A 17,020-nucleotide genomic window follows, 5' to 3' on the forward strand; every position below is an offset into this window, starting at 1 on the left:
TGAGAGAGGGCATCCCTGTCTTGTGCCAGTTTTCAAAGGGAATGCTTCCAGTTTTTGCCCATTCAGTATGATATTGGCTGTGGGGTTGTCATAGATAGCTCTTATTATTTTGAAATACGTCCCATCAATACCTAATTTATTGAGAGTTTCTAGCAGGAAGGGTTGTTGAATTTTGTCAAAGGCTTTTTCTGCATCTATTGAGATAATCATGTGCTTTTTGTCTTTGGCTCTGTTTATATGCTGGATTACATTTATTGATTTGCGTATATTGAACCAGCCTTGCATCCCAGGGATGAAGCCCACTTGATCATGGTGGATAAGCTTTTTGATGTGCTGCTGGATTCGTTTTGCCAGTATTTTATTGAGGATTTTTGCATCAGTGTTCATCACAGGTATTGGTCTAAAATTCTCTTTTTTTTGTGTGTCTCTGCCTGGCTTTGGTATCAGAATGATGCTGGCCTCATAAAATGAGTTAGGGAGGATTCCCTCTTTTTCTATTGATTGGAATAGTTTCAGAAGGAATGGTACCAGTTCCTCCTTATACCTCTGGTAGAATTCAGCTGTGAATCCATCTGGTCCTGGACTCTTTTTTTTTTTTTTTTTTTTTGAGACGGAGTCTCGCTCTGTCGCCCAGGCTGGAGTGCAGTGGCGGGATCTCGGCTCACTGCAAGCTCCGCCTCCCGGGTTCATGCCATTCTCCTGCCTCAGCCTCCCAAGTAGCTGGGACTACAGGCGCCCGCCACTACGCCCGGCTAATTTTTTGTATTTTTAGTAGAGACGAGGTTTCACCGTTTTAGCCGGGATGGTCTTGATCTCCTGACCTCGTGATCCGCCCGCCTCGGCCTCCCAAAGTGCTGGGATTACAGGCGTGAGCCACCGCGCCCGGCCTGGACTCTTTTTGGTTGGTAAACTATTGATTATTGCCACAATTTCAGATCCTGTTATTGGTCTATTCAGAGACTCAACTTCTTCCTGGTTTAGTCTTGGGAGAGTGTATGTGTCGAGGAATTTATCCATTTCTTCTAGATTTTCTAGTTTATTTGCGTAGAGGAGTTTGTAGTATTCTCTGATGGTAATTTGTATTTCTGTGGGATCGGTAGTGATATCCCCTTTATGATTTTTTATTGCGTCTATTAGATTCTTCTCTCTTTTTTTCTTTATTAGTCTTGCTAGCGGTCTATCAATTTTGTTGATCCTTTCAAAAAACCAGCTCCTGGATTCACTAATTTTTTGAAGGGTTTTTTGTGTCTCTATTTCCTTCAGCTCTGCTCTGATTTTAGTTATTTCTTGCCTTCTGCTAGCTTTTGAATGTGTTTGCTCCTGCTTTTCTAGTTCTTTTAATTGTGATGTTAGGGTGTCAATTTTGGATCTTTCCTGCTTTCTCTTGTGGGCATTTAGTGCTATAAATTTCCCTCTACACACTGCTTTGAATGCGTCCCAGAGATTCTGGTATGTTGTGTCTTTGTTCTCATTGGTTTCAAAGAACATCTTTATTTCTGCCTTCATTTCATTATATACCCAGTAGTCATTCAGGAGCAGGTTGTTCAGTTTCCATGTAGTTGAGCGGTTTTGAGTGAGATTCTTAATCCTGAGTTCTAGTTTGATTGCACTGTGGTCTGAGAGATAGTTTGTTATAATTTCTGTTCTTTTACATTTGCTGAGGAGAGCTTTACTTCCAAGTATGTGGTCAATTTTGGAATAGGTGTGGTGTGGTGCTGAAAAAAATGTATATTCTGTTGATTTGGGGTGGAGAGTTCTGTAGATGTCTATTAGGTCCGCTTGGTGCAGAGCTGAGTTCAATTCCTGGGTATCCTTGTTGACTTTCTGTCTCGTTGATCTGTCTAATGTTGACAGTGGGGTGTTAAAGTTTCCCATTATTAATGTGTGGGAGTCTAAGTCTCTTTGTAGGTCACTCAGGACTTGCTTTATGAATCTTGGTGCTCCTGTATGGGGTGCATATGTATTTAGGATAGTTAGCTCTTCTTGTTGAATTGATGGCTTTACCATTATGTAATGGCCTTCTTTGTCTCTTTTGATCTTTGTTGGTTTAAAGTCTGTTTTATCAGAGACTAGGATTGCAACCCCTGCCTTTTTGTTTTCCATTTGCTTGGTAGATCTTCCTCCATCCTTTTATTTTGAGTCTATGTGTGTCTCTGCATGTGAGGTGGGTTTCCTGAATACAGCACACTGATGGGTCTTGACTCTTTATCCAATTTGCCAGTCTGTGTCTTTTAATTGGAGCATTAAGTCCATTTACTTTTAAAGTTAATATTGTTATGTGTGAATTTGATCCTATCATTATGATGTTAGCTGGTTATTTTGCTCGTTAGTTCATGCAGTTTCTTCCTAGTCTTGATGGTCTTTACGTTTTGGCATGATTTTGCAGCGGCTGGTACCGGTTGTTCCTTTCCATGTTTAGTGCTTCCTTCAGGAGCTTTTTTAGGGCAGGCCTGGTGGTGACAAAATCTCTCAGCATTTGCTTGTCTGTAAAGTATTTTATTTCTCCTTCGCTTATGAAGCTTAGTTTGGCTGGATATGAAATTCTGGGTTGAAAATTCTTGTCTTTAAGCATGTTGAATATTGGCCTCCACTCTCTTCTGGCTTGTAGGGTTTCTGCCAAGAGATCCGCTGTTGGTCTGATGGGCTTCCCTTTGAGGGTAACCTGACCTTTCTCTCTCATTGCCCTTAACATTTTTTCCTTCATTTCAACTTTGGTGAATCTGACAATTATGTGTCTTGGAGTTGCTCTTCTCAAGGAGTATCTTTGTGGCGTTCTCTGTATTTCCTGAATCTGAACGTTGGCCTGCCTTGCTAGATTGGGGAAGTTCTCCTGGATAATATCCTGCAGAGTGTTTTCCAACTTGGTTCCATTCTCCCCATCACTTTCAGGTACACCAATCAGACGTAGATTTGGTCTTTTCACATAGTCTCATATTTCTTGGAGACTTTGCTCGTTTCTTTTTATTCTTTTTTCTCTAAACTTCCCTTCTCACTTCATTTCATTCATTTCATCTTCCATTGCTGATACCCTTTCTTCCAGTTGATTGCATCGGCTCCTGAGGCTTCTGCATTCTTCACGTAGTTCTCGAGCCTTGGTTTTCAGCTCCATCAGCTCCTTTAAGCACTTCTCTGTATTGGTTATTCTAGTTATACATTCTTCTAAATTTTTTTCAAAGTTTTCAACTTCTTTGCCTTTGGTTTGAATGTCCTCCCGTAGCTCAGAGTAATTTGATCGTCTGAAGCCTTCTTCTCTCAGCTCGTCAAAGTCATTCTCCACCCAGCTTTGTTCCGTTGCTGGTGAGGAACTGCGTTCCTTTGGAGGAGGAGAGGTGCTCTGCTTTCTAGAGTTTCCAGTTTTTCTGTTCTGTTTTTTCCCCATCTTTGTGGTTTTATCTACTTTTGGTCTTTGATGATGGTGATGTACAGATGGGTTTTTGGTGTGGATGTCCTTTCTGTTTGTTAGTTTTCCTTCTAACAGACAGGACCCTCAGCTGCAGGTCTGTTGGAATACCCTGCCGTGTGAGGTGTCAGTGTGCCCCTGCTGGGGGGTGCCTCCCAGTTAGGCTGCTCAGGGGTCAGGGGTCAGGGACCCACTTGAGGGGGCAGTCTGCCCGTTCTCAGATCTCCAGCTGCGTGCTGGGAGAACCACTGCTCTCTTCAAAGCTGTCAGACAGGGACATTTAAGTCTGCAGAGGTTACTGCTGTCTTTTTGTTTGTCTGTGCCCTGCCCCCAGAGGTGGAGCCTACAGAGGCAGGCAGGCCTCCTTGAGCTGTGGTGGGCTCCGCCCAGTTGGAGCTTCCCGGCTGCTTTGTTTACCTAATCAAGCCTGGGCAATGGCGGGCACCCCTCCCCCAGCCTGGCTGCCGCCTTGCAGTTTGATCTCAGACTGCTGTGCTAGCAATCAGCGAGACTCTGTGGGCGTAGGACCCTCCAAGACAGGTGCGGGATATAATCTCTTGGTGCACCGTTTTTTAAGCCCCTCGGAAAAGCGCAGTATTCGGGTGGGAGTGACCCGATTTTCCAGGTGCCGTCTGTCACCCCTTTCTTTGACTCGGAAAGGGAACTCCCTGACCCCTTGTGCTTCCCAAGTGAGGCAATGCCTTGCCCTGCTTCGGCTCGCGCACGGTGCACGCACCCACTGACCTGCGCCTACTGTCTGGCACTCCCTAGTGAGATGAACCCGGTACCTCAGATGGAAATGCAGAAATCACCATCTTCCGTGTTGCTCATGCTGGGAGCTGTAGACCGGAGCTGTTCCTATTCGGCCATCTTGGCTCCTCCTCCTTTTTTTTTTTTTAATGGAGTTTCACTCTCGTTGCCCAGGCTGGAGTTCAATGGCACAATCTCAGCTCACTTCAACCTCCACCTCCCAGGTTCAAGTGATTCTCCTGCCTCAGGCTCCTGAGTAGTTGGGATTACAGGCATGCGCCACCATGCCCAGCTAATTTTGTACTGTTTTAGTAGAGATGGGGTTTCCCCATGTTGGTCAGGCTGGTCTCGAACTCCTGACCTCAGGTGATCCGCCCACCTCGGCCTCCCAAAGTGCTGATATTACAGGTGTGAGCCACCATGCCCGACCTACTTTTATTTCTTTAAGGAATCTCCACACTGTTTTCCATAGTGGCTGTACTAGTTTACATTCCCACCAGCAGTGTAAAAGTGTTCCCTTTTCACCACATCCATGCCAACATCTATTATTTTTAAATTTTTTTTTATTATAGCCATTCTTGCAGGAGTGAGGTGATATTGCGTTGTGGTTTTTGTTTGCATTTCCCTGATAATTAGTGATGTTGAACATCTTTCCATATGCTTTTTGGCCATTTGTATATCTTTTGAGAATGTGTCTATTGATGTCCTTAGCCCACTTTTTTATAGGATTTTTTTTTCTTGCTGATTAGCTTGAGTTCTTTGTAGCGAATATGACGTATTTCTTAATTTTCAGAGTTTTGTAATCTTCGGAGAGAAAACTCTTAATTTTTAGTTTTGTAATTCATTTTGTAATTCAGATAACTACAAGGCAGATTGGCATAAGGAAAGGTCCATTAATTTAGTAGAGTTAGCATATTTGGAAAATAAGGGATAGAAATATTGATTCCAACAGTAGAAAATCTGGGGTGGAGAAGATGAAATGTGACCAACTATTTGAAGTATGCATAAGACTTTATGCAGAAGAGGGAGAGAGGAACAGTTAGGGCAGATGTGATTGTATGATCAAAGGAGTAGGAATTGGACAGTCTGAAATTGTATAGTTGGAGATAAATTTGGATGGAAATCTGAGGTTACTAAAGGTATTGCATAAATGAAAGATAATGCCAGAGTACAATAAGAGTTTTCAGAATTACATTTTCTGATTTTGAGAATCTAGATATAATTTAGTAACTTTTTGCTCCAATATTCTCAATAGTTTTTTAGTACTAGATTTTACATTTTAATATATAATTTCTGTTTTTATTATTTTTTTCCTAAACTTTTTCCTAAAATTATTTTTGTCCAGTCTAGTACACTGTCAGTTTATCCTTTTCCTATGGAAATACCTTATAACTGGTTTTCTTGTTTCCCCTTTTGCCCTCTTCCAACTTTTTTTCCTGTACAGTAGCCACAGTGACCATTTAAAAAAATGAAGCAAATTTTTTCACTCTTTTGCTTCAAACTTGTGGGTGGATTTCCATCATTCTATTTTAAAAAATAGATTAATGAACATCTAGAAGACTTTAAAAAGAAATAAGCTATTTGCGATATATAAGGGAAAAGAGTTCGATACTTCTGAAAGAACTTTCTTTATGATCCATAAAGCAAGACTTCCTGTCAGGGGTTCAGATATATAATGTGTAATAGTAATAGTTCATCACCACTAGGCACTGCTTCAAGGACACACACACACACACACACACACACACACACACACAATCCTCACCATTATTATATGCATAAGGTACTAGTATCATCTCTATTTTATAGGTAAGAAGGCAAAGGCACAGATAATTTGTATCTAAAAATCCAGACAAGGAAACCTTAGCCAAACTGGTGATCCCCAGTTTCATGGTCTTCTAATTTCGTGATCCCACTGACTGCAGATCAGTGGTGTCTGCAAGACATTTTTCACTTGTCATTTCTTGATTTCCATGCCTTTCTACTAAGTTCAATTTGCTGTTTGTTTAAGTATCTAGAGTGAAAATCTGTGGGAGTGGGAATTTTCTTAGTGTTTGTCTAAAAATGTGTTTATTTTGCCCACATTTTTTGAATGATAATTTAATAGGATATAGAACTCTAGACTAAGATATTTTCCCCCAGCACAATGAAATATTATTTTTGGATGCTAGCCCCTGTTGCTGCAGTTGAGAAATCTATTGTTTTTCTAATTGATTTGTTTTTCCTCTTTGGTTACTCTTATTTATTTTTAAAATTTTATTGATGTATAAAATACACATAGGAAGTGTACAAATCATAATTGTACAACTCTATTAATTTTGATATATATACACACTTACTTTACCACTCAGATCAAGGTTTGAAAACATTTCTAGGATCCAGACTGTTCCCTTATGTCCATTCTCAGTCAACATCCACCCTTTCCCCTCTAGCACTTGGATCTCTCTCCTTTTTTAAAATCATAAGCTCCTATCTACGCTCAATTTTTTTTGCTCTTTTATCCAGCATTTCTAGGTGTTTATGGATGGAAGTTTTTCAGGTGATCTTGCTTGAAATATGACGTTAAGTAGAAGTCTAAGGTAAAGGTTATTTCCCATTGCACTTAAAATAAAATCTCACCTACTTAACCTGGCCCACATTATTCTGTATGAACTGGCTCCTGTGCACCCCTTGAACCTCATCTCACACAACTCCCTTCCTCATTCAAGCAGCACTGGCCTCCTCTCTGTTGCAGAGTACAACAAGCCCTTTCCTAATGCCAGGCCTTGTATTTGCTGTCCCTCTGCTTAGAACCTTTTTTTCTGTAGTTCTTTGCATGGCTAGTTTACCCTTCAAGTCAGACTGCAATGTCAGCGCCTCAGTGTCCTCCTCAGTGTGACCTTAATCTCTACTCATCACTCTATATATTTCTTTCACAGCATTTATCACAGTGTATATCTTAATTGGTAATTTATTTTTATACTTCTTTAAAAAATCACCTTTTATTTTAGATATAAGGACTACATGTGTAGGATTGTTACATGGGTATATTGGACCCAGATAGTGAGCATGGTACCCACTCCCTCCTGCCTCACTCTAGTAGTTGACAGCATCTATTGTCCTCGTGTTTATGTATATGTGTGCTGAATATTTAGCTCCCACTTATATAAATGAGAACATGTGATATTTGGTTTTCTGTTCCTGTGTTAATTCACTTCAGATTATGGCCTTCAGCTACATCCATGTTGCTGCAAAGGACATGATTTCCTTATTTTTTATGGCTGTATAGTATTCCATGCTGTAGGAGGCATCGCATTACCCAACTTGAAATTATACCACAAGACTACAGTAATCAAAACAGCATGGTATGAGTACAAAAACAGACACACAGACCAATAGAACAGAATAGAAAACTCAGAAATAAAGCCATACACCTACAACAATATGATCTTCAACAAGGTTGACAAAAACAAGTAATGGGGAAAGAACTCCCTATTTAATAAATGGTGCTTGGATAACTGGCTAGCCATACACAGAAGAATGAAACTATACCTGTACCTTTCACCATATACACAAATTAAGATAACATTTCTTTTTCAAAAATTTAATTTTTAAATTTTTTGTTTCTGACTGCTTCTCTATCTCAAATGTCAGCTCTCTGAAATTAGGCACATTATCTGATTCATAACTATGTGATTCGTCACCACTATATTCATTTTCTAAATAAATGAATGAAATAACTTTTGTAGCTTCAGAAAATTTTAACTCCAAAGAACATATATGTTACGTATGCTTGATCACTGAACACTTAAGAGTCTGTTCTCACACTGTGAACCAGATTCCTGCAGTGCTTAAGGCACTGCTCACTAGGCAAGTTAGACATCTTCTGAAATCTGGGCCAGTTGTGGCAAGTTAATGATAGACCATTTAATAGACTAGCAAATAAATGTATTAGGTTGGTGCAACAGTGATTGTGGTTTTTGCCATTAACTTTCAATAGTATATCAAAAGATATCAAAATGGCAATATTTCTGGGGTGGTTCATAAACAATCTAAGCCCCATTGATGTTGGGTCCCACTAACCCTTGTTATCTCACCCCCAACCTGCCTTCTGGGTCTAATTTTAAAGTTAAGCTCTATTTCTCCCTTATCTCTCTTTTCCAATATAAGCTACCAGCCCATTTCTTGCTATCAAGTTTTTAAACTATTTCTGCATTTCAAATAGAGTCCTGAAAATTCCTTTCGTAAATCAGAAGGGTTATCTGCCATTTTCTAAGCAGCTGATTTAAGAGAATTGGATATATAATTGTGCCAGGTCCTTAGACAGCTCATTATATATGTAAGCTTATATTTTATTGCTTCGAGAAAACTGCATAAAAGCAAAATCACAAATTCCAGCAGCATACTGAAGTGACTACATTGAATGTAGATATTAATCTTTGCATTCTCCAATCTCTTATGTGCAAAACCATTTGTGAAAGCAAAGATAGCATGCAAGCTTCTTAATGAATATTTGTCCAGTGAGCATAAGAATAACAACATTTTGATATTTTCAATCCAGGTGATAGAGCTTTCTTTTTCCCTCTGCTCTCTCAGATGTCTCTAGTGGAGTCAATGGTTAATTAATTGGTCAATATTTTAAATATTTATTGCACTTTTACCATGTGTATAGCAATGGGAGAGGGCTATTATGTGCAGGGGGAAGAGAGTGGCATCAGTAAGGAGGTGGAGACAAAGCTTTAAGACAGTGTTTTTACATGAAGATAAGAGAACAAAATAGTAGTCATTTAGCAAATATTTATTAAGTACCTATCACGTATTAGGTATTGTCTTAGACATTGGAGATACATTCTCAATTCTCATGGACTTTAAATACTACTGGAGTGAGAAAAACATTTAGCAAACATATTGGTAAATTAAATGATATATTATGGTGATAAGTATTAAGGAGTAAAATAAAGGAGTGAGGAAGTATAGCGTGTTCAAAGACTGGAGGCCTATAATTTAAATAGGGTGGTCTGGGAAAGGGACAGTGAGAACGTGATATTTGAGCAAAGACTTGAGAGAAGGTGCAAGTGATGTGGATATCACAGGAGTTTACGGTTATAGAAAAATTTAATATTAAGCAGATTATTTGTATTTGTTTCTAAATCTAATAAATAAATAAGAAAATAAATAAATAAGCAAAAAATCTTGAAACCTCTATGAATACTGTCAAATCAGCCTGATTAGTATATGGGTCTGCTCTGCTAGTCCTTTACAATCCTGTTCTTGCATCCAGTTGAGGTGTTGTCTGGCTGAGCAGATGGGCTGTTAATAAGCTTGAGTTCTATTGTGCCATCTGAATCTTCTTCATCTCTGTAGCATTAGATGTATCACAAGGTGAGTCAGGGAGCTGGTGAGGCAGATGGCACCTATGTCTCACTGTGGTTGCATTAGGCAATGTCCTATGCATGCATATGGAAGTGCAGACAGACAGTGCAGGTGGGTGGGAGGAAACCAACTACCCAGAGAATTTTCACTAGGAATCTTCTCACAGCAGAAAACTGGAAGATTGATCACCTTATATTTATTCCTTCATTACAATGAGGACCTCCAGAGTTTTACAGCCTAAGAAACGTGTTTTAAGAGGCAACTTCTCCAAGAACACTTCTCTAAAGAAGACTTTTTGTTTGCTCTCTTAGACTGGTTCAGGTGTGACTTTACTATGACTTTCTAAACTTCTGCTGAATTCTGCTCTTTTCACCACTGTACAGGAAAGGGCAGGCCTTGTTGACTATAGGATTGCTATGAAACTTTCTTAAAAGTTACCCAGAGGTGGTGTCTGTCTTTCAGAATGTGGAAGATAGTATCACTTTAATTTGGCCATCTCTGAAGATGGAAATAGGGAAGGGAGTTGGTATTATAAGGAGGAATTTTGATGTTATTTTTTCTACCACTTGCATATGATTAATGGCCAATTACAGGTATTCCAAGTTAGTCATAGGATCCAGTTATTCTCATAAAATTCAAATGGTCACCTAGAAGTCAAGTTTTTTTTTCCCATAAAATATTGGGAAAGATTTATTTGTTTCATTGCTTTTGTTTTGTTTTGTTTTGTTTTTGGAGACAGTGTCTTGCTCTGTTGCCTAGTCTGGAGTGCAGTGGTGCTGTCACAGCTAACTGAAGCTTCTATCGCCTGGGCTCAAGCTATCCTCTCACTTCCTGAGTAGCTATGACTACAGGTGTGCACCACCACACCCAGCAAGTTTTTATTTTTGGTAGAGACAGGGTCTCACTATGTTGCTTAAGCTGGTCTAGAACTCCTGGACTCAACTGATCCTCCTTCCTTGGCCTCTCAAAGTGCTCGGAGTGCAGGGGTGAGTCACCACACCTGGGCCAGAAAGATTTATATATTACATTTTATGATATCTACAAAGGGAAACTTTTGCTAGAAGAAAATATGTCTATTAGGCAATCATTCATGTCCCAAATTGCAATTACAAGAATCAAAAAGGATGGGGAGAAATAAACATATGTTGAAAACTTTCTGTGTGTTGGGTGCTTTCCATATATGGTCATCTATTTAAACTTCACAAAAGCCCCATGAGGAAGGCATTGTCCTCAATTGACGGGTAGGAGAGTTTAGGAAACTTTCCCAAGGTCACACATCAAGAAAGAGTTAGAGTCTGAGTTGAATCCAGATCTGTTTGACTCCAAACTACTTCTCACTGTGCTATTTCCTCTCTGCATGGATGGTGCTTTCTGACTTTCCCATTAGTACCATTAGTTACTTGTTTTACATATTTTATTGTCTCTTTGGCAGATAATGGGTATTAGGTGCCAAGAATTCATTAAAACATTATACCATAAAACAATTATTTATAAAACAATATAATATAAAAATAGTATTAACTTTCTGTATTAGTTATCTATTGCTATGTAAAAATTATCCCAGTTGGGTAATAATGATGCGTCAATGTAAGTTCATCAATTGTAACATATGTACCACTCTGTTGGGGGATATTGACAATGGGGGCGGCTCTGTGCACACATGGAGGGAGAAAGGATATATGGGATATTTCTGTACCTTTCTCTCAATTTTACTGTGAATGTGAAACTGCTAAAAAAAGAATTCTTAAAAAAATTTCAAAACTTATTTACCCCCAAACATAGCAAGTAATGACAATATATATTTATCACTTTCTAAGAGTTAGGAATCTGACAATGACTTAGATGGGTGATTCTGGCTCAGGATCCCTTATGAGGCTGCATTCAAGCTGCTGGCTGGGGCTGCAGTCTTCTGAGGGCTTGTCTGGGGTAGGAGGACCCATGTGTAAGGTGGCTGTGAAGAAGAAGCCCCAGTTTTTTGCCACATGAGCCTCTCACTAGGTTACTTATGACATGGCAGCTAGTTTTCCCCAGACCATGTGCTACAAGAGAGAAAGAGAGTAAGCAAGCTGGAAGCTGTCCTGTGTTTTACAATCTGATTTTGGAAGTGGTATTTCATCACTTCTGCTGTATTCTGTTGGTCAGTGTGGGAAAGGACTGTATAGAGGTATGAATAATAGGAGGCTATCTGTGAGCCTTCCTGGAAGTTGGCTATCACACTTTCTACAATTTTAATACTTTTTCTTGGTTGAGAATTGGGAAAAACATCTTCCATGAATTGTCTTTTTGGGCACCTTTTGCCCGCTTCTTCCATGATAATATTTAAAGGTTATCTAATTTGATCATTCTCTTGTTAGCTTAGTATCAAGCACATGTGCTGGAAAGAACTTTGATTATTACTTTTGTAGGGACTATTCAGGCTTCATATCCTGAACACTCTTTATAGAAAGAGATACAGAATTCTTATCCTGTATCTTATTTTAGCTCTAACCCCAACCCCAAACCTAAGCATCATATGCCTGCAAATTGCCTCAATAATGTTTAAAAAAATCCAATCATATCTGATCAAATATAGGGCCATCTTTCTATTCTGGAGTATCTTTTCTATTACTCTTTGACTGCGGCAATTTTTGTTTTATCTCCAATTGTCTCAGAGTTGAAGCTGGCAAAGTGAGAGTAAATATTCTTCCCCAGTGCAATGCACTCTGCTATTTAGACCATGTGCATTTGGTTTAATACATAAGTGCCCAGTGAATAAACATGAGTTGATTTTCTTTAAATGACAGCTCCATCTTCTCAGGACATCCAAGGTCCAAAAGACCATCTGTGTCATTGTGGTAGACGTTGTAGCTTCTCCTTGCCCATCTTAAGTGCAAGTTTTTACACCTCAGCTCTTCTCTACTCAGGTTGAGCCCCTTCCCTAATCCAAGGTGACCATTATCCCTCAGCAGCTTAGATAACTCACTGTAGGGATTCTAGTGTCGGCTTTTTATAAAGCTCTCTGGCCTCTCAATCAAAGTAGTCCAGAAGCCCATATCAAGAATATTTTATCTTATTATTTGTCAAAGTTCTACTTTTTGGAAGGTGGGAAAACACTTGTTAAAAAATGCACATTTCTAGGCCTTCTCCAGATATTCTGAATCAGAATCTCTGTAATTGGGTGGGTAGGGAGACTCAGACTATATCTGTGATTTTTTTTTTTTTTTTTTTTTTTTTTTTGAGAAAGGGTCTCTCAGTATCACCCAGGCTGGAATGTAGTGGCATGATCATAGCTCACTGCAGCCTCAACCTCCCAGGCTCAAGCAGTCCTCCCACCTCAGCCTCCTGAGTAGCTGGGATTACAGGTGCACACCACCACTCCTGGCTAATTTTTGTCTTTTTGTAGAGATGGGGTTTTGCCATGTCACCAAGGCTGGTGGTTTTTAATTTAAATAATACATTTATTAAAACGAAATTTCATACAAAGAATTTACCTTTTTAAAGTATACAATTCAGTGGTTTTCAGTATATTCACAAAGGTCGGCAACCATCACCAGTAATTAATTTCAGAACATTTTTTATCACCCCCAGAACAAATCTTGAACTCATTAGCAATCACTTTCCATGTTCCCTCTCCCTAGCTCCTGGCAACCATGAATCTACTTTACTTTCCGTTTCTATGATTACTCATTCTGGTTATTTTATATATGGAATAATACAATATGTGTGGCCTTTGTATTGATTGGCTTCTTTCACTTAGCATAATGATTTCAAAGTTCATCAATGTTGAATCATAAATCAGTATTTCATTCCTTTTTATTGCCCAATAATAATCCATTGTATGGATATAGTATACTATGTTTACCCATTCTTCAGTTTATGGACATTTGGTTTGCTTCAACTTCTAGCCATTATGAATGCTATGAACATTCATGTATAAGTTTTGTGTGGACATGTTTTCAGTTCTTTTAGATATTGTTATGGCCTAAGTTATGCCCTCCCCACAAATTCATATGTTGAATTCCCAACCCCAATACCCCAGAATGTGATTACATTTGGATACAAGGGTTTCAAAGAGATGATTAAATTAAAATGAGGCCATTAGGGTGGACCCAAATCCAATCTGATGTAAGAAGAGATCATGACTGCAGAGAGATACCTAGGGTACACATACACAGAGGGATGAACACGTGAAGAGAGGTGGCAAGAGGGCAGCCAGCTGCAAGGCAAGGAGAGAGGCTCCAGGAGAAAGCAGCCCTGGTTGGCACCTTGATCTTAGTTTTCCAGCTTTCAGAACTATGAGAAAATAAATTTCTGTTGTTTAAGCCACCCAGTCTATAGTATTTTGTTTTGACAGCCCTAGCAAATGAATATAGGTGTACAGCTAGAAGTGGAATTGCTGGCTCATATGGTAACTGTATATTTAACATTTTGAGGAATGGCCACACTGCTTTCCAAAAAATTGCACCATTTTACAATCCAATTCCTTCACATCCTTGCCAACACTTGTTGTCTGCTTTAATTTTTTTTTAGCTATCTTAGTGGGTATGAAGTGGTATCTCATTGCAATTTTGATTTACATTTCTTGAACGATTCATGAGGTGTGCATTATTTCTTATACGCTTGTGTTTTAAAACGAAGTTCACAAATAATTTTTATTCATTCCAAAATTTGAGAACTGCTGTGCAGATTTATCATACTTCAAAGTTGTTACCCAGCTTAAATGCTTTATCTGGGACTTCAGTTGTCCAAATTAAAGTGACCTATGCTATAGTATGGTCAGTAGAAAATATCTATGTTAAAGTTAATTTATGAGTAGGCCAATCAGTCCTTAGGAGTATATGTGATGTGACCTCAGAAACTTCACACCAGCTTGTTTTCTTGCCTGCATCTGTGACATCTAACCTCTGAGAGCAGTAAGTGGCAAAGTCCACTTTGTCTTGGGAGCTAGTTAGTGGGAAAGAGAAGCCATCCTTGTGTGATATCCTGGGTGTGACCCTTGTTATCACTAGAGACACAACCATCACTGTGCCTCCTCATGGATTAACTGCAGGCTGGCTGAGCCTTTAGAAACAAGTTCAGCATCCCCTAGTTTGGACTTACTGCTTTATCCAAGTCCAGCTTCTGCTTTTGGCTTCACTCACCTTTTGAATTTACATTCTTTTTTGTCTAATTCTGAGAAACGTAGGTGTTTCCAAATTTACACTCTCTAAATGTAACTGAGTGTTGATATAACGTGGCTCTGAAATACTGTTGGAGAGTCTGGGAAACAAAAAGTTGGGCAATCTTTTTGAGGAAATGCTGGGCAGTAGTTTTTACTTGTGTCTCTATTATAAGTCACATGTTCTTATAAATAAGCAAGAAAATTCCTTTAACATTAAGTGCTGTGTAAGAAAACTGGATGGAAATACGTCACTTTTATTCCTCCTTACCATTGCTAGATTAAAGTGTGTCACTTACCTGCATGTTGGGGCCTCGAGATGCTGAGAGTAGAAATCAAGTTCTGCTCTCTCTCCATGAACTTTTGGATCAGCAGGCCGCCACTGTTAATAGAAGTAATCCTAAACCCCTGAAAATGCAGTATTATTAGCTTGAAATTTCTAGGCAAGTTTTTTTTTTAAAGATTTAACAATTTTTGGCAATTTCTACACATTTATATTACGTGGATTGTTATTTCTAATTCCTGCTATTAAATATCTGGCACAAAAGTAGGGATGTTAAATCTTTGCATTTCAGAGCTCAGCTCAACAAACGTGGTGAAGTTTCATAACAACAAGTGGGATGCTAGTCTGTCAGTTTTCAGCAAAATGCTATCTCTCTTTGTTATGATGCTTCTTAGTGATGATAGTTTCTCTGTAAGGCAGTCCTTGGTATTAACTGAACATAATTAAGCTTTACTTCTGCATTGTAGCAATTAAAGTAAAATAGAAGAAAAATCTGGCCTGATACATGTTAGAGTTGTTAGATTTTCATTTCCATCCTCTATTTCTATTTGTGGAAAATTCTCCATTCTCCCACCATTCTCCTCCTAATGAAGCTTCAAGGGCCCTTTCTTCCTTTTCCCGCCCTCTGGCATTGAGGATAAACTAGATCCCAAGATTCAGCAGCTACCTCAGCTGACTAGGAGCCAGCTCAAGATTTTTGTACATGTTAGATTGAAAGGCTTAATGGACTCCCAAGGGGGAGAGATCTAACAGGCAGTTGGACACATGGACAACACATTTATTTTACAAAGTTGGACAATGAAAACAATATATCAACTCAATGTTTCTGTTTCAGTAGCAAAATATTTGCAAGCATTATGTAATAAAATATGAAATAATATAGAAGTAACCTGATAGATAATTTGTACATAATGTCTTAGTAATGTCTAAGGAAATTGGTAACATCAATTCAAATTACAGAATTATCATAATGGTTTAGTTATATGAAAAGACTGTTAACATTTCATTGGTCACCATTGATAATCTCTTTTTATTAGATTTATATTTAACAGTGATTAAGTACCACAATGTGCTGGCAACAGAATAGAATAAGGGCTCAGAAATTGTTCCTCTCCAGTGATCTTATAATCTTGCCTTATGCCCATGAATTTTCTTTTTTATTTCTTCTGTGTGGACCATGGAACAGTTTGCATTATTACTGCTCATAAATTCTGCCCTGATGAGATTAGTTTTATAGATGTAGAATCAATAATACTTGAACACATTTGCAGCTGTGTACTGCCCAGTATTGCTCATTAATGGCTTTAAAAGAATCAGTGCATTTTGCTAGAAGCAAAGATAATGAGCCATTGATTATCCCTGCACAGCACAATTTACAGCCCATTTTATTTTTAATGCAATGTTAAATTAATTTGTAAAAGATCAGAAGCATTGCTTTATTTTCAAGCTGTGATTAAACAGTTATTGAACTTTTCATGGAGAGCATTAATCAATTCTCATCTCTTCTGATTTCCCAGAGTTCTCTGAAAATAAAGATGAATAGCTTGTGATTACCCACACTTATTGTGAGGCAGCAAACATGGAGGAGAAAACATCCTTATGGGGTTCATCTCTATGTGATGGAATTTGTCAGGAAGGGTTCTAGTCCAAGTATTTTTCCTTAAGTTCAGATTATGGATATATTCTAGATCAATGAGTGGGGATGGAAATTTCACTAGAGTTTTAACTAAAAGCACCTTGAAGAGTATGAAGATACATAGAAGTTAAGGCATGCATGTGTATTAGTTAATTCTTCCACTGCTATAAAGAAATACCTGGTCAGGCACAGTGGCTCACACCTGTAATCTCAGTACTTTGGGAGGCCAAGGTGGGTGGATCACTTGAGGTCAGGAGTTTGAGACCAGCCTGGCCAATATGGTGAAACCCTGCCTCTTCTGAAAATACAAAAATCACACCTGAGTGTTGTGGCACACACCTGTAATCCTAGCTACTTGGGAGGCTGAGGCAGGAGAATCAGAACTCAGAGGCAGACGTTGCAGTGAGCCAATATCGTGCCACTGAACTCCAGCCTGGGTGACAGAGTGAGACTCCGTCAAGA

At 38.9% G+C, this 17,020-nt stretch overlaps 1 annotated feature.

Annotated features, from left to right (window-relative positions):
• Positions 827–1,040: a silencer, noted in NCBI's record as "fragment chr14:25676311-25676524 (GRCh37/hg19 assembly coordinates)". NCBI's record gives its function as "represses an EF-1alpha promoter that drives an FKBP-Casp9 reporter gene in an ReSE screen in K562 erythroleukemia cells {active_cell/tissue: K562}" and the evidence as "EXISTENCE:reporter gene assay evidence [ECO:0000049][PMID:32094911]".

This window comes from Homo sapiens, chromosome 14, assembly GCF_000001405.40.
Source record: "Homo sapiens chromosome 14, GRCh38.p14 Primary Assembly".
Classification (NCBI taxonomy): Eukaryota; Metazoa; Chordata; class Mammalia; order Primates; family Hominidae; genus Homo; species Homo sapiens.